At 46.2% G+C, this 18411-nt stretch overlaps 1 protein-coding gene across 16 annotated transcripts in view, besides 1 other annotated feature; it reads right to left on the minus strand.

Annotated features, from left to right (window-relative positions):
• Positions 6682–6871: an enhancer, noted in NCBI's record as "active region_27311". NCBI's record gives its function as "activates an Ori minimal core promoter by ATAC-STARR-seq in GM12878 lymphoblastoid cells {active_cell/tissue: GM12878}" and the evidence as "EXISTENCE:reporter gene assay evidence [ECO:0000049][PMID:35858748]".
• The window catches only part of SLC20A2 (solute carrier family 20 member 2), a 125480-nt gene continuing 117315 nt past the window's right edge, over positions 10247–18411 (minus strand). For all 16 annotated transcript variants that reach the window (XM_024447237.2, XM_017013748.2, NM_006749.5 and 13 more), the window contains one exon: positions 10247–11739. In XM_024447237.2, coding sequence (XP_024303005.1) covers positions 11575–11739 — 165 coding nt within the window. In that variant the 3' untranslated portion in view covers positions 10247–11574. The remainder of the gene's footprint in view (positions 11740–18411) is intronic.

Here is an 18411-nt window from a genome sequence, read left to right on the forward strand (position 1 = left end):
GAGACGGTGGGAGGAGGCCAGAGCTGGGTGGACACTTCTGGGACTCCTCCTGGGCTTCAGAAACATGATTTTTGATTACTAGTATAGAAAAATGATAACCAAGGAATGAAGTACCAGTTTAGAGAAGAAATGAGCAGACTATAAAATCCTCAGGGCTCACTGGTAAATCATCTTCCTAAAAGTAGAACTCCTTTTGAAAATCTTTTTTTTTTTTTTGAGTTTAAGAGCAGAGGTTTAATAGGTGAGAGAGAAGAGAAAAGCTGTCTCTTGCAGAGAGAGAGGGGGTTCCTGAGTGGGTCTTCAGTTTTGTGATGAAACGCACAGGGTTTTATAGGCTAGCTTGAGGAGGTGGTGTCTGATTTACATTGGGTCTGAGAGATTGATAGGACCAGGTGTGCTGTTTGCACAAAGAAGCTGGCCATCCCACCCTAATCTTTTATTATGCTGATGGGGTCTCTACCTGGCTGGTGCCATGTTGCCTGCCTTTTTACTGCACATGTGACAAAAAGGAAGAGGGAGCCTCCATGTTGAACATGCCTGGCCCCCAGATAGCCTTTTCCTATTGGCACAGCTGCTGGCATGCACCTGTGCAAGCTTCCAGCTTGCTTATCTATGCTTGCAGCTTGATTTTCTTCAGGCTGCTTTTTGTTAGAAATGATTTGGGGGCTGCTTTTTATTAAAAAGAAACCTTACCAACGACTCTCTTACCCTCACTATCTGCCTAAATAATTTCTTTCTAGCTCCGGTATCATTTCCCCTATAAGGAGTGGTAACTCACTGCTGTTAGGGGGTGTTGGATGATGACTCTTTCTGGCTACTTCCTGCTGAAGAGGGGTGTCATGTGGGGAACAGCAGTTAAGGCTCCTCCTGGGGTTGATTTAAGGGTCCTTGGAAGAAAGGTGTGTCCATGCGTGGCTCCATCTGTAGCACCATCTGGATGTTCTATCTTCAACATTCTTTCCGATAAATGTACTTTCCAATCCTGGACGGGACCCCAAAATGAAGTGGCGTTGTTGTCTGGGGTAAATACCCGAGGTTCGTTGTCCCATGCCAAGGAAATCAAGGACATGGACACACAAGAAGTGAGTTTAAGAGTGAAGGTTTAATAGGCAAGAGAAAGGAAAGAAAAGCTCTCTCCTGCAGAGAGGGGCTCCTGAGTGGGTCTTCCCTGCATATCTCTTTTTAAAAATTACAGCAATGCAGTTTGCTGTTTGAATTTGTTTCTAAACAAGTTCAATTTAGAAGTAAATAAAAGTGAAAATTCTCATTCTTCTAATTCCTGTTTCTTCTGCCACTGACAGTTTGATATGTCCTTGAAGATATGTTTCAGTATTATGTAAATATCTATTTATATATACAAAACGTTAAAATGGATACCTTGGCCGGACGCAGCGGCTCACTCCTGTAATTCCAGCACTTTGGGAGGCCGAGGCGGGTGGATCACCTGAGGTCAGAAGTTCGAGACAAGCCTGGCCACATGGTGAAACCCCATCTCTACTAAAAATACAAAAATTAGCTGGGCATGGTGGTGGGTGCCTGTAATCCCAGCTACTCAGGAGGCTGAGGCATGAGAATCGCTTGAACCCAGGAGGCGGAGGTGGCAGGGAGCCGAGATTGCGCCATTGCACTCCAGCCTGGGTGACAAGAGTGAGACTCCATCTAAAAAAAAAAAAAGGATATCTTATTTTGCAGTATACTATTTGTTCACATCTGCTTCATATTTTTGTTATTTGTATGCTTTAGTATAAATGTGACATTATTTAACTATTCCCCTTTTTTGCTTATATTCAGTTTTTTGCTTTATAAACAGTGCTGCATTGAATGTCCTTGTCTTTTTTTTTTTCTTTCTCTTTTTCGACATTGAGGCTCGCTCTGTCTCCCAGGCTGGAGTACAGTGGCACAATCTTGGCTCTCTGCAACCTCTGCCTCCTGGGTTTAGGCAATTATCCTGCCTCAGCCTCCTGAGTAGCTGGGACTACAGGCGTCTGCCATGATGCCTGGCTAATTTTTTTAGTAGAGATGGGGTTTCACCATGTTGGCCAGGCTGGTCTTGGACTCCTGACCTCAAGGAATCTGCCTACCTTGGCCTCCCAAAGTGCTGGGATTACAGGTGTGTGCCACCGTTCCCGGCCCCTTGTCTATTTCTGTGACTGTTCCTGTGCCAGCACTGCCCAGCAGAGCTTTCTGGGTGATGAAGGTGATCTGTCTCTGCACTCTCCTGTGTGGCAGGCACTAGCCACATAGGACTATGGAGCAGTTGAAATGCAACTAGGGGAACTGAAGAACTAAGATTTTAATTTAAATTAAGTTTTTGAGACAGTCTTGCTGTGTTGCCTAGGCTGGAATGCAGTGGTGTGATCATGGCTCACTGCAGCCTCAACCTCCCCAGGCTCAGGTGATCCTCCCATCTCAGCCTCCTGAGTAGCTGGGACTACAGTCTCATGCCAGCACACTTGGCTAATTTTTGTATTTTTTTTTGTAGAGGTTGCGTTTCACCATGTTGCCCAGGCTTAATTTAATTTTAATTAAATTTAAATAACATGTGGCCAGTGGCTACTATATTGGATATTGGACAGTGTAGTTCTGTAAGATAGATTTCTAGAATTGAAATTGCTGAGCCGTAGGGCATATGCATTTGCTAAGTAGTACAGACTTGCCCTCCAAAAATTTTTTACCAATTTCTGTTTATACCAGTGGTGTTTGAGTGTCCATTTCCCCACATCCTCAGGTTTTTTTTTTTTAATTTTAATTTTTATTTATTTTTTGAGACGGGGTCTTGCTCCAGTCACCCAGGCTGGAGTGCAATGGGGTGATCTTGGCTCACTGCAACCTCCGCCTCCCAGGTTCAAGCAATTCTGCCTCAGCCTCCTGAGTAACTGGGATTATAGACGCGTGCCACCACGCCAGGCTAATTTTTCTATTTTTAGTAGATATGGGGTTTCACCATGTTGGCCAGGCTGCTCTCGAACTCCCAACCTCATGATCCTCCCGCCTCAGTCTCCCAAAGTGCTGGGATTATAGGTGTGAGCCACAGCGCCCGGCCCATCCTCAGTAATATTTTGACTATTACCTAAGTTTGAAGTTTTTATGTTTTATGGGTGAGAATGATTGTTTTATTTTGCTTTCCCTCCATGGCCAGTGAGATGGAACTGTGTTGACTGGTTATTTACAGTTCTCCTTTGCCCGTTCAGATTCCTTGCTGCATTTCCAGATGAGTTGTCTTACAACTAGACACATTTGCTTTTTGAAAAATGTCAGTGCAAGGTATCCCCCCCAAAGATGATCTTAACTAGACAATATCCTTTACCCAAATTAGGGGTAACTGGGTAGGAACTAGATGGCATGTATGTCAGAAAACATCTATGATACCAACCACATGACAGTTTTATTTCTCTGATGTTATCTTTGTGAGTTGAACCACCATTACCAGAGATAAAGTAAAACAAATGGAAAAGGGGTGAGAAGGGGTGAACTGTAACTTAGTATGAGTCCAATTCACCTTGTGTCTCACTGGAAAGCCCTTCCCTGTAGCGCGAGGGTGGAGGGAGTCCCATGGGCTGACCGTGGCTGCAGGCATCCCTCTGGGGTGTGGGGGATGAATGAGCTGCCCAGGACCCTGGCTCTGTGTCAGAGGCAGGACTGTTCCACCTGCACATAAGGGACAGAGAGGAAGTGGCAGCAGGGGAACCCTGAGGCCTCTTTGTTCCTTGGGCAGAAGTTATTTGTATTGATGGCCTGAAGTGGATGAAAGGGATATATATGCCTCTAGGTTTGTATTAATATTTTATTTTTAAAAATGTGAATGCAAATATAGAAGAAAATGCTCCAAAATGTTAATATTCATTATCTCAGGAAGGTGGAATTATAAATATCCTTATTTACTGTATACTTTTCCAGTTTTCTAAAGCAAGTTTCGCATTATTTCTGTAATCAGGAAAAAGCTCTTAGGACTGTTACAGTTTGGAGGAGGCAGAGGCCCAGCGGCTGCACGGGCGGGCGGGCATCCCACGTGGAGCACGGTTCCAGCCTAGGCGAGACGCCCTGGCTTCCGCTCGCCGCCTTTAGCGAGGCTACCCCGATGGAGGGTGACGCAGGAGGACGAGTGTTTCTTGTGGTAAGAGACTAACAAGCATGGGGTTTTTCTTTTCTTTTCTTTTCTTTCTTTTTTTTTTTTTTGTTTTGTTTTTTGAGACGGAGTCTCAGTCTCAGTCTGTCGCCCAGGCTGCACGATTTCGGTCCCTGCAACCTCAGCCTCCTGGGTTCAAGCGATTCTCCTGCCTCAGCCTCCTGAGTAGCTGGGATTACAGGTGCCTGCCACCACGCCCAGCTAATTTTTTGTATTTTTAGTAGAGGTCGGGGGTTTCACCATGCTGGCCAGGCTGGTCTCGAACTCCTGACCTCGGGTGATCCGCCCGCCTCGGCCTCCCAAAGTGCTGGGATTACGGGCATGAGCCAAATGTTAAGGGAACGCATCCTATTTTACATACCGATTTTCCCACAAGTCACCGGGAGGATGTCACTGTGCATAGCTGACCGTCGTCCTGTGCCGAGGGTCTGCTCAAGGGACAGAGGAGGACGGTGCTGTCCTGGGGTTTCGTCTGGCTTCCTGTGCCTGTCCTCGGAGGCTCGCTGTTACCTTTCTGAGCCTCAGCTTCTAGCGCAGGGGCTGGGAAGGGAGCTCAGAAGGGGCCGGAGCCGCGCGGCCCCCTGAGCGTTCTCGGTAAACGCTCGGGGTCCCCACTCCAAGCCCGGCCTTCCGCATGCCGCTTCCTCGGCTACCCTTGAGAAGCAAAGCCCCCTTTTCCCTTGCCCACCACGCCAGTGCTGGCGCTCAGGTGCTGCCTCCCCTGTAACCCACAGCCCGGTTCTGGGTGCAGGCGTGTGTGTTAGCGCGAGGGGCGTTTTCACATCCCGCGCGCCCTTAATCGTGGGCTCCTCTGCGCCCCAGCGGCCTCTCAGGTAAGGGTGGTCGGATACTAGCGCCACCGGCCTTGCCCAGCTTCGAACAAATCGTGGCCGCGCGGTGGTTCACGCCGGGAATCCTAAAACTTTCGGAGCCAGAGGAGCCCTTAAGCCTAGGGATTCGAGACCAGCCTGGGCAACATAATGAGAACCCCGTCTCTTAAAAAACAAAACGAATTGTAAATTAGGACAGGGTGCCATTGGATGGACCTCCATGAATGTCGCTTTTCCCACTGAGAAAGGCCCAGTGAGGCTGTGGCTTAGGGTGAGTCACCAGCAATGTCGGGCTGGGCAGGCCTCCCCTCCTGCCGAGGTTGGGTGGCCCGGAGGAGACGGGGGCGCCTCCCAAGGGGGGCTGACTCCAATACGCCCAGTTCCTTCTTCCCCAACGTAGTTACCGAATACACTCCTTTCCTCTGGCGGAGTGGATTAAAGGGGGTAGGAAGCAAAAGTGGATTCCAAATGGGGTCCAGTCACGTGGAAGGAAGGTTAAGGACGGGGCTCAGCATTCCCGTGCAGTGTAGGCACAGTCAGCTCTGCCCCTCTCCGGGATCTGGCGGCCCACCTGGGGTGGGCGTCCAGGCCTGGCGCTAGGAGAGTGGAGCGTGTTCTGCCCGCCTTCCGACCGGGCTCATAACCCGCCCTGCTCCGTAAACTGCCACTCCCACCTGCCTCCCGGACGGCTGCCTCCTGAAGCTCTTTCCCGAAGCATTTCTCCATCGCAGAACTCCCTCTTGAACTCCAAACCTTTATTTCAAGCTGCCTGGCAAACGTCTCTTCTCGGAGATTCTGCAGGCATCCAGAAGTCACCGTTCCCCAGGCGGAAACTGTGCGCTGGGTGCCCTTCGCACGTGGAGTCTCGGCCGCATTGCCGCCTCTGCTCTGACAATTCCTCCCGACCTCTCCCAGCTCCAGTGAACACAGCCTCGGCGGCAAGCGTTGTGGTGCAGCTGCGTGCCTGTCTCCCCTCTGCCCATGAGTGCTGGAGGCCTCTCTGTCTTCATTCCAGCAGCGGCCAGGCTGTCGTGTGCCAGGTGATAGGCACTGGTGGATGATGATTGCTGAACAGGAGCCCTCAGACAAGCGGGCCTGGTCGGGCCTCCCAGGCAAGGGGATTTCTGCTTAGGGACCGAGGTTCTCCTTCAGCAGGCGCTCATAGTTCCCTGTGACCACCAAAGAAACACAGACCATTCCTGGCACTTCTGAGCATTTCTTGCAACTCTGAATTATGGTATAATTAACACTCAGTGAGGTGACTTCACTGCTGGCAATTGAAAGGGCCAGAGATAGTCTGATAGGCCAGAGATAGTTGCAATTAAACTCGACCCCACCAGGTGCCGCTGTTGTTGCTGCCAAACAGAGATGCCCACAGCTTCCTCGTCCGTGCTTTCTGCCTGGAGCCCTTTAAGTCCCTCTTTTGACCTCCTTGCCCCACTCCCTACCACTCATTGCAGTCTCTAATTAGGGTCAGGTTTAACCTCTAAATGGCAAGTCTTGGGAAAAGCAAGGAAATTCTCCATCTTACTCTGGCCCAAATCCCTTTTGCTGTGTAAGCAGATTTTGTTCTAGCCACACGGAGAGCAGATGGTCATCCTCACTGAGTCTGAAACCCTTCACTTAAGATCATATTGAATTCTCGTGTTTCCTTTATAAAAACAGGCGGAATGAGCCCTCACCCTCTCTTCCTAGGCTTCCTTTCCAAGCTCCTAATCACCTCTCGCAGTGCTCCTTCCTGGAACTTCCTCCCGGGCCTACCCACAGTCCCCTTTTATGGAGATCACAGCTGTGGACGGGCCTGGCCGCTGCTGAACCGGAAGACTCCAGATAAGGTCAGGAAGCCTGAGGCCTGCCCTGGCCCCGGATGAGTTGGCCCCGAAACTTTTTCTCATTCTGGGCTTTGGTGCCTGCAGTGGCCGGCCAGCTCCACGTGTTTCAAAGATCCAGTAAAATAAGGGAAATGAAAATGTTTCAGAAGGGTGGTGGCAGGATTATGGGATGTAGGTGACTTTTTTTTTTCATAATATTAGTCATGCTTTTTTTTTTTTTTTTTTTGAGACAGAGTTTCGCTCTTGTTGCCCAGGCTGGAGTGCAATGGCATGATCTCGGCTCACTGCAACCTCTGCCTCCTGGGTTCAAGCGATTCTCCTGCCTCAGACTCCGGAGTAGCTGGGGTTATAGGTGTGCACCACCATATCTGGCTAATTTTTTTGTATTTTTAGTAGAGACGGGGTTTCACCATTTTGTCCAGGCTGGTCTTGAACTTCTGCCCTCAAGTGATCCACCCGCCTCGGCCTCCCAAAGTGCTGGGGTTACAGTCGTGAGCCACTGCGGCTGGCCTATTGTTTTTTCAATATAATGAAGGATAAAAATATTTAAGAGGGTGACAGTTAATCCAAGAGCAGAGCTCCACTGCCTGCTTATGTAACCACATTCTATGGGTTTCCCCAGTCCCCCATCATGCAGGGAACTGATTTGCTAGCGTCCTTGTCTCTAGTGGTTTTGTTTAACTGTGGTCTCTTTTCTATTCCTTTTCTTCATCATCCCATTAATGCTCTCCTGAGAGCCATCCTCCTGAGGGGACTCACCCATAAAAATAAAGGATTCACCCACAAGAGAGGGACAAATGCTTGCCTGAGGAGCCCGTTTGGTACCAGGCCCTGGGGTGATCCCTTTTTCATGCCGATGCCCTGATTCCTCACACTCCCGGGAAAGGGTCCCTTGGCCCATTTTGTACACAAGAAAACTGGCTCTAATAGGAGCGATGGAAGTGGCCCAGGGTTAGTGAAGCAGGAGCTGAACTCTGAGCCTGGTTCTGCCAGACTCCAGGAGCCTTCAAGGCACCGGCAAGTGTGATCCCCCACGGGCAAGCACAGTCCAGCAACAGCCTTGTCCTGGGATGCCTCAAAACTCACTGTGCCAGCTACACAGAGGGCCTTTTCACCACCTCACTTTGTCATCAAATAAACCCAGAGGCCAGAGATCTTTACATGTCATCCTGAACTGACTTTAAATGTTTGCTGATTTTAAATGTTTATTCTGCAGCTTGAGATCTCTACTGCTTAAGAATTCAGCTTCTTTTAAGAAGGCGAGGTGGAGAGGGCTTATTTAAAAAATTGTCTTGTTGAAAATGAATCCATTGTGTTTAGGTATTTGCTCAAAAGTTCATTCCTGGCCCGAAGTGGTGGCTCACACCTATAATCCCAGCACTTTGGGAGGCCGAGGCGGGTGGATCATGAGGTCAGGAGTTCAAGACCAGCCTGACCAAGACGGTGAAACCCCCGTCTCTACTAAAAACACACAAAAAATTAGCCGGGTGCGGTGGCAGGCACCTGTAGTCCCCACTACTCAGGAGGCTGAGGCAGGAGAATTGCTTGAACCTGGGTGGGAGATGTTGCAGTGAGCCGAGATTGTGCCATTGCACTCCAGCCTGGGTGACAGAGTGAGTCTCCGTCTCAAAAAAACAAAAACAAAAACAAAAAAATACAAAAAAAAATTAGCCGGGTGTGGTGGTGGGTGCCTGTAGTCCCAGCTACTCGGGAGGCTGATGCACGAGAATCGCTTGAGCACGGGAGGCAGAGGTTGCAGTGAGCTGAGATCACGCCATTGTACTCCAGCTTGGGCTACAGAGACTGTCTCAAAAAAAAAAAAAATTCATTCCCTTTGGAAAAGCAATAATAAAGTAAAAGACCATTGTCTCAGAACTCAAGCTCCTCTGACAGCATCCAGATTTTCCCCCCTCAGAGGAGCCCAGACAGCAGCAAAGAGGCGTCTCTAGGCCTCCCCATGGTTCTGTCAGGTGGAGTAAAGGGATCCCATGAAAAGAATCGCAGTGAGCAGCACTGCCCACACCGTCTGTGTGAGGTTCCCTCTGTCTGAAGACTCTGCATTATTAGAGGAAGAAGCTGGTGAACTCAGGAAAGATTCTCTGGGTAGAACTGTGGGCTGGTGGCCCAAGACAGGGAGCCTCTGCCAGCGTCCCCTCCAGCTTGGAGATGGTCCATGCTTGGACTCAGCTGACCAAACCCTCCCAACCACCTCGCTTGGCTCCCTGGGCACTCTGCTTTCCCGCCCTTGGCTTGCAGCACCCCCAGCCACCCACAGGAGCCACCTTGCAGAGGGAGGGGTCCCAGGTGAAGTGACTTCCCTCCCTCGCAGGCGATCGGCTGGCCAGGTGGCCCTGTGTGTCAGATCACAGTGAGGCCGGGCAGGGGTGTGGGTAGGCGAGGCTTCTCCCAGAACTGCCACTGAGGCGCCTGTGCTCAGTCACGAGAATGCTCAATGTGGTGAGTGTGGCCTGTTTCCCTCTCACCCCAAGATGCTGCCTCTGCTGTCCTGCCTGCTGGGCCGGGCCGGGGCTCCCAGGTGGCAGCCCTCCTCCCTGGACAGGGGTGGCTAGCGTCTCTGCCTGAATCCCGCAGACTGCTTAGGCTGCACAAGGTTCACCTGCATTGTGTTGTGCTGTTACTTGAAGTGCGGAAATGAAGGGCTGAAGGTGCCATTTTAAACACCAGAAAGGGCAGGGCTCTTAGTGGAGATGCATTTTTTTTTTTTTTTTTTTTGAGATGGAGTCTTTCTCTGTCGGCAGGCTAGCGTGCAGTGGCGTGATCTTGGCTCACTGCAACCTCCGCCTCCCGGGTTCAAGCAATTCCCCTGCCTCAGCCTCCCAAGTAGCTGGGACTACAGGCGCATGCCACCACGCCAGGCTAATTTTTTTGTATTTTAGTAGAGATGGGGTTTCACTATGTTGGCCAGGAAGGTTTCCATCTTCTGACCTCATGATCCGCCCACCTCAGCCTCACAAAGTGTTGGGATTACAGGCGTGAGCCACCGTGCCCGGCCACAAGATGCATTTTTCACACCTGCCACTTTGCCTCATCTGTCACCTTCACAGCTCCTAAGGGAGTCGGAGCTTGTGCCACCACCGCTACAGAGGATTAAGGGGTTTCCCTCTGGGGGCTCCAGAATATGCAAGCCAGGGTGTTTTTGGCTGCTTGAGCAAAGGATAAGACCTGCACTTCCCTGCTGGGTCCTCAGCCCTGAACATGGCAACCGACTGCTCCATGAGCTGCTGACTGCGGGTTTCTGAATGCGGGGCGGGGACGCCGTGCCTCCCTTTCCTGCTCACCTGTGTTTTCTGTACAAGCCCGTAACAGTAGTCAAATAAGGGAAACCAAAAAAAGGTATGTGAAAAATACAAGGGCCAAATTATATAGCTTTGGTTTTTGTGGAAACTCACTCTGAAAGAAAAATTGTCAATATTGAGAAAAAGGCTTCAGAGGCAAACTTCTGAGGGGCATTTTTTATTATAAATTTAATATGGTTGATTAATGAAAAATGACAATGAAGTACCAAGAAAATGTTTGTCAATATAAAAATTTTAGCAGCATTTCCATAGTTTCAGGCTCCAACATTAGTCGTACTTCCTCCCTCCCGCTATCAAAAAAAGAAGAGACTCCAATGGGATGGAGTAGAGCCTGGGGGTGTCCAGCTTTGTGTGGGCCTCAGAGAAATACTCCATCCAGCATCCAGGATTCTCCCTCCCTCTCATCCCTGAAGTGCTAGAATGTCAAAGCACAGAAAAAGCCTCCTTTGTGCTGACATTGGAGACAAGGATCCGTTCTTCAGGCTGCAGGGAGAATTGGGATAGAAACTGACTCTGGACTTGACATGTAGTGCTCAGCCACACGCCCTCACCAACACCTGTGCATTCTCTACTCTGATGACAAGGAAAGGCCACTGCAAGGTGGGTGGGATCTGGGGTGTGGTGGCGGTGGCACTGCTGGTGGGAGCCACGGCGTGGCGCATGCTGGGTGACGGTGTCACCGCCACACACTGCTCTGGGGCAGGCGTGATCAGTGAGGGTGGGAGACAGACAATGTGAAAACGTAACACTGGCCAATGATTCCCCTGCTTCTTTGGTACTTTCCAAAATTCTCTGATCAAAAAAGTATAAGGGAAGCACACCATTAAAAAATTACAGTTTTACGTATTTACAAAAGCAATGATGATATATTACACAACAATCAATACACAGTATATGAACAAATCTTCAGTGAAAGCACTTGTGAGCTCCCGTCCCGCTGTCATCCCACAGCACGCGACCTCTGCAGGGTCAGGTTGCCTGTTCTGAAGCTCATTACCTTACAGTATATTAGAAGGCAAAAACATCATTTGGAAAAAAAATCATTTTCCAATCTACACTTTCCTTTTAGAAGGCTTAACATTTGCCATCGAAATAGTTATGTACAAGATTTATTGAATATTGACTTCTAGGCAATGATCTCCACTCCCAACTTGAATATGTTTGAAATAATGCTGCCTATTCTATGGATACAATAGATATTTAATATATAAGTAACTGCACCACATTATATCACCACGATACCAGTTTAATACATATTATTATGTACAGTAGTTAAGTTAGCTCGGGAAGGTGAGTCTCCGCAGCCTGGGTGAACAGTGTGGGATGGAGCCTCCTGGAAGGGAGGCAGAGAGCTGGTCATGAGAGAGCCGTGCACGGCCAGGATGTGTATGTGCGGCACGAGCACACATGTCTCCCACACGCCAACACCAGACCATCCCTTTAGCTGTTTGCAGCTGGAAGAAGACAAATCACACATATGGAAGGATCCCATACATGAGAAGAGCCATGACAGCAGCGCTGAACAGCCCAGCCACAGGGACGGTCACGAACCAGGCCACGAAGATGTTCCGAAAGAGGCGCCAGTCCACAGCCTTGCGGGAGCGGATCCAGCCCACGGCCACCACCGAGCCCACCTGTGGGAGCAGACATTGCAAAGTAAAAACAGGTGAGCCACAAAGGCTACACTCTACCAATGTACATGGGCTAATCTCAGAAACAAGCTCTAGTACAACATTACCCAGTCCCCTACATTTGTTAAAGCTTTTAAAATAGCTTAGATTTTAGGTAGAATTGTTTGGGGATTCTTCTCTTCAGCATATAGCTCTTTATATAGTTGTTTTATATAGTTGTTTTGAGACAGTCTCACTCTTCACCCAGGCTGGAGTGCAGTGGTGTGATCTCAGCTTACTGCAACCTCCATCTCCCAGGTTCAAGCAATTCTCCTGCCTCAGCCTCCTGAGCAGCTGAGATTACAGGCGCATGCCATCACCCTTGGCTAATTTTCATATTTTTAGTAGAGACGGGGTTTCACCATGTTGGCCACGCTGATGTGGAACTCCTCACCTCAAGTGACCCTCCCTCCTTGGCCTCCCAAAGTGCTGGAGTACAGTGGTGCAATCTCAGCTCACTGCAAGCTATGTCTCCCAGGTTCAAGCGATTCTCCTGTCTCAGCCTCCTGAGTAGGTGGGATTACAGGCAAGCACCACCACATCCAGCTAATTTTCATATTTTTTAGTAGAGATGGGGTTTCGCCATGTTGGTCAGGCTGGTCTCAAACTCCTGGCCTCAAGTGATCGGCCCGCCTCAGCCTCCCAAAGTGCTGGGATTACAGGCGTGAGCCACTGTGCCCAGGTTGGATTTTGGCTTTAAAAATAATATTCCCGGCCGTGCGCGGTGGCTTCCGCCTGTAATCCCAGCACTTTGGGAGGCTGAGGTGGGCGGATCACGAGGTCAGGAGATGGAGACCATCCTGGCTAACACGGTGAAACCCCGTCTCTACTAAGAATACCAAAAATTAGCCAGGCGTGGTGGCAGGCGCCTGTAGTCCCAGCTACTTGGGAGGCTGAGGCGGGAGAATGGCGTGAACCTGGGAGGCGGAGCTTGCATTGAGCTTGCAGTGAGCGGAGATCATGCCACTGCACTCCAACCTGGGCGACAGAGAGAGACTCTGTCTCAAAAAAAAAAAAAAAAAAAAAAATTCCCTGAAATCGACTGTAGTTAACAGGGAACATTTAAAATGTATCTTGAAATAATTCAAAACTTAGAGAAAAGCTGCAAGAACTCCTGTTTTCTCTTTACCCAATTCACTATTTTTTGACATTTGCCACAATCTGTGAAGAGACTTTTTAATATGATTAAAATATCCTGCATCTTATCAAACCTCACTTTCCCCTTCTGCTAAAGATTTCACAATCCAATGTTTATGACGATGGCTATAAAATGGTGATTTACCAGGCCGGGCATGGTGGCTCACGCCTGTAATCTCAGCACTTCAGGAGGCCGAGGCGGGTGGATCACCTGAGGTCAGGAGTTCGAGACCAGCCTGACCAACATGGTGAAACCCTGTCTCTACTAAAAATAAAAAAAATTAGCCAGGTGTGGTGGTGCATACCTGGAATCCCAGCTACTCACTTGAACCTGGGAGGTGGAGGTTGCAGTGAGCCAAGATCGCGATACTGCACTCCAGCCTGGACAACAGAATGAGACTCAGTCTCAAAAAAAAATAAAATAAAAAATAAATAAAATAAAATGGTGATTTACCAAAGTCCATTGCAATTTCTCACATGGAGTTCTACTTCAAGGAAGAGCTCTTTCCTCTCCCAACGTGTTTTAGGACCTTAATACATAATGACAAATAGTTTTATAAATAGCTGTTAATGTAGTGTCATCCATAATCTGTGAATATCAGCACATGATATCATGTAAGTTGCTCTTTTTTTGGCTAATTAACCGACAAAAAGATGCACTGTTGCTGTTTTAATTTGCGTATCTTTAATTACAATTAAGGCTGAACTTTAAAAAATATATTTACTGAATTTCACTCTCTCTAGCTTTCACATATACAAATTGTCGGCCAGGTGCAGTGGCTCATGCTTGTAATCCCAGCACTTTGGGAGGCCAAGGCGGGCGGATACAAGGTCAGGAGATCAAGACCATGCTGGCTAACAGGGTGAAACCCCATCTCTACTAAAAATACAAAAAATTAGCTAGGCGTGGTGGTGCACACCTGTAGTCCCAGCTACTTGGGTGGCTGAGGCAGGAGAATCGCTTGAACTGGGGAGGTGGAGGTTGCAGTGAGCCGAGATGGCACCACTGCACTCCAGCCTGGGTGACAGAGTAAAACTCCGTCTCAAAAAAAAAAAAAAATTGTCTCTTCATGTATTTTGTCCATTTACATACTAAAATCTAATGTGTTCCTTATTTATTTATGTGTAGTCTTCACTGAATAATATTAACTCTGTGATATCGAATACACATTTTCTTAAGGTAGTATTTTGCTTTGTTTCACTTTCAAGTTTCTAACTTCATGCAATAAAATATGCTATAATTTTCTTCTGTGATTTATCCTTGGCTTGAATATTTGATAAATATTTAATTCCATTTTATTTTTCTAAAATAAAATTCCATTTTACTCTAAATTTAAGAATATTTTTAAAATATTATTTAAGCCATCAGATTTATGTTCATGTATTTTGAGAGTGGTCTAATTTTGTTTTTCTAGACTGACAGTCAGCTATTCAACCTTTCAAACACTTACTGGTTAAATTTTCCCTTTTTCAAAATACATGCTCATATAGAACAGGTTCCATCCATTGCTATCTACTCTGTTCTTATCCAGGTATCTACTTTTAAAAATTATTGTGGTAAGATATACATAACATAAAACTTACAGTTTTAGTAATTTTTCAGCATACCATTTAGAGGCATTAAGTACAATCACATTGTTTTGCAAACCATCACCACAATCTGTCTCCAGAACTTTTTCATCATCCCACGGGGAAACTGCCCCATAAAACACTAACACCCAGTTCTAGCCCCTCCTCCCAGGACCTACTCTTGACTTTTGTTTCCTTATATGACATTATACGTCAGGTAAGGCTAGTTCCTCCTTTCAGTTTTCTTGTTAGATCATTTTATATTGCTGATAATTTATTTCACCAAAATGTATTCTTTAGTCTCGTTTTGTAAAATTCCAAGTAAAATCCTGTTCAGGTTGTATTTAGGGAGAAGTGACTTCATTACAACATCTGGTTTTCCCATCCAATAGCACATTACGTCTCATATTCAGATTATCTTTTTATACCTCTGAGCAGTTTTGTGCCTCTTCCATATATATCACTCACATTTCTTTTTTAAAAAATTATTTATTTAGTTGTTTAGAGATGGGGTCTTACTATGTTGCCTAGACTGGTCTTGAACTCCTGGGTTCAGGCTGTCCTCGTACCTTCAGCCTCCTGAGTAGCTGGGACTATAAGAACACACCATGTGCCTGATGACACTCACAGTGCTTATTAGGATTATTCTGAGATAACTTTTATTTTTGCTGCAATTATGGTGGCAGTTTTTTTCCCTCCCGTTACATTTTCTAATTGGCTATTGCTGATGAACAAGTGCTGGATTTTTCTATTTTTACCTTGGACTTGGTCACTCTTACGAACTCTAGTAGTGTTTTAGAAATACTGAATATCGGCCGGGTGCGGTGGCTCATGCCTGTAATCCCAGCACTTTGGGAGGCCGAGGCGGGCAGATCACCTGAGGTCAGGAGTTCGAGACCAGCCTGACCAACATGGAGAAACCCCGTCTCTACTAAAAATACAAAATTAGCTGGGTGTGGTGCTGCACACCTGTAATCCCAGCTACTCGGGAGGCTGAGGCAGGAGAATTGCTTGAACCCGGGAGGTGGAGGTTGTGGTGAGCTGAGATCATGCCATTATGGCACTCCAGCCTGGGTAACGAGTGAAACTCCGTCTCAAAAAAAAAGAAATACTGAATATCATCAAATGTCTTTTTGGCTTATATCTCAACAGAGATCTTTTTTTTTTTAAGTGGATTGCTAAGGCATATTATACTGAAGCTGCCTATATACCCAACTTGAGCCCCTGCGAGGACCTTGCCCTGCACAGCCTGCTGGTGGTGGGTGATGCAGTCCTGCCCTGTCACGAAGGGAGCCCACTTTCTGGTAATCTTGATCAATTTGGTCCTGCTGAAAGGTTCTTGTATAGTATTGTTTTGTTTTGAGATAGAGTCTTGCTCTGTCGCCCAGGCTGGAGTGCAGTGGCACAATCTCAGCTCACTGCAACCTCCACCTCCTGGGTTCAAGCGATTCTCCTGCCTCAGCCTCCCTAGTAGCTGGGATTACAGGCACCCACCACCACACTTGCCTAATTTTTATATTTTTAGTAGAGACGGGGTTTTGCCATGTTGGCCAGGCTGGTCTCGAACTCCTGACCTCAGATGATCTGCCCACCTCAGCCTCCCAAAGTGCTGGGATTACAGGCACGAGCCACCATGCCCAGCCAAATATTGTTGATGTCATTTTTCAGCATCTTGCTTAAAGTTTTTACAATCAATATTCATCGGTAAACAGATTTCATTGTTTGTGATATTTTAAATTAGGTTTGGTATTAGGGTTATTCAGTGTACGCCATAGCACAAATGGGAGAGGTTTTTTAGTTTTGTTTTTCTTCCTACATTGTGGGAAAGTTGAGATCGTGTGAGAGCTGGGTTTTTTTTTGTTTAAATGGAAAAGATTCTAATGAATTCCTCTAGTCAGCAGTATCCTCACCCGCCCCACCCCTAGCCCCTTTTTGCTTTTTTAGGTGGGAACAATTATTTTTGGAGAACTCCCTTAATTTCATCCTATTGTTCTGGGTCAGATTTTCCACTTTTTTCTACTTCTTAGGCCAATATTTCTTTGTCACGTATATTGTTGCAGAAAATAATTCACATGGGTTTTCAAATTCTTAGCATATAGCTGTGTGGCTTATTTAATAATGGAAACAGTTCTCTTCTCTGTTGTTACAATGTCTTCCTCCTTCCCCTCCCTCTTTTCCTTGATGTGATCTGACATTTTGTTAGTAGCCACTTTCCTCTCCCCTTCTTATTTTGTTTTAAATTAATTTTGCTTCTATATTTCTTACAACCTGTTTCCTCAATTCTTACTGTCCTGGACTTTTTACAAAATCCTAATTTTAATACTTGGTTATTTTATTTTCCCTTTGATCAATTAAACCATTTAAAGATATGAATTTTCATCTTAGCATAACTTGGTTGCCACAGGTTTTGCTGTTTGTATCCACCCACAGACACACACATTTGGTTTTTATTATTTTCCAAGAAAGCTATCCTTGTATTTTTCTAAACTCCTTAATTCAATTGTTACCTTAAAAAAGCATTAAAAAGTCTCCATTGGGATACATTCTTATTTCAATATATAATTAATTTCTAGTTTAATTTTATTGTAATTAGAGATCATGGTTAGCACAACTTATCTTTAAACTTTTTTTTTTTTTAATTTAAATTTTAACTTTTATAAAATAGAGACAGGGTCTCACTATGTTGCCCCAGGCTGGTTTCAAACTTCTGGGCTCAAGCGATCCTCCTACCTCTGCCTCCCAAAGTGCTGGGATTACAGGTGTGAGCCACCATGTCAGGTCTGTTTTTAAAATTTTATAGAGATTTTTATCATGGTCTTCTGATTTTAGGATTTTTATAAATGTTTCACGATGCTTGACAGGAAGGCATATGATCAGTAGCGTAAAAACTTGTACATATTTATTAATTATGCTGTTCTAAATAAACGTTCAAATTCTTCATATTCCCACATACTTTTTCTATACTTCATTTATCATACGCTAAGACAGTAATTTCTGAGTTCTTAACAATTTTATGTATTTAGTTACATGTTATTTGATTCATAAAAGATCCAGAGTACTATGTCTTTGCTACTGATCATGTCTTCCGTGAATGTAAAATGTTATTTTTTTGCTGTGTTCTAACTTCCCTTTTAATAAATCGAGTGTGTTTCCAGTTTAAGGCCATCATCAGGTACTTATAGCAAAAAATTGTTGAGAAGAAGGGGGACCAGAGAACAAGAATTAGAAATTAAATTAGAAATTATAATCCTACATTTGAAATCAGTAGTGTTCCCTGTATGCTGTTCCAAATTGAAATGGTGGTTGAATCATCATCTATGTCATCAGTGAGGACTGACAATGTGGGTGATCCACAAACAGGAATAATCTCAATCCACCCAGTATGGAATTAAAACATTCTGCAGAATATGACTTCCAAATTCCTATTAAAGAGCACACACATGAGCAACTGTGCTCAGTAGTGGCACTGTGTGTTATCTGCTAGGGCTAAAGACCAAACGTGATTAAGGGTCACAGAAGGGAAGAATGATGAACGAATTGCTGAAACATAACATCTGAGGATTCTTTTATTTTCAAAACCGGTTTCTGTGTCTTCAATTAAGGCTTTTTTTGGGGGGTGCGGGGGGGGATAGTTTTGCTCTTGTTGCCCAGGCTGAAGTGCAATGGTGCAATCTCCACTCACCACAACCTCCGCCTCCCGGGTTCAAGCGATTCTCCGGCCTCAGCCTCCCGAGTAGCTAGGATTATAGGCATGAGCCACCGTACCTGGCCAATTAAGGCTTTTGACCCTACTCAAAGGTATTATTCCAGGAAAATATCTGATAAACTGAGTCCTCTGATATGAAATACAAAATATATAAAACCAGAATACATACAGAGGGTGTAACTCATCAAACAGACTGCCTTATATATGCCTTCTGGAATAAAATG

Source organism: Homo sapiens, chromosome 8, assembly GCF_000001405.40.
Source record: "Homo sapiens chromosome 8, GRCh38.p14 Primary Assembly".
In the NCBI taxonomy this organism is placed as follows: Eukaryota; Metazoa; Chordata; class Mammalia; order Primates; family Hominidae; genus Homo; species Homo sapiens.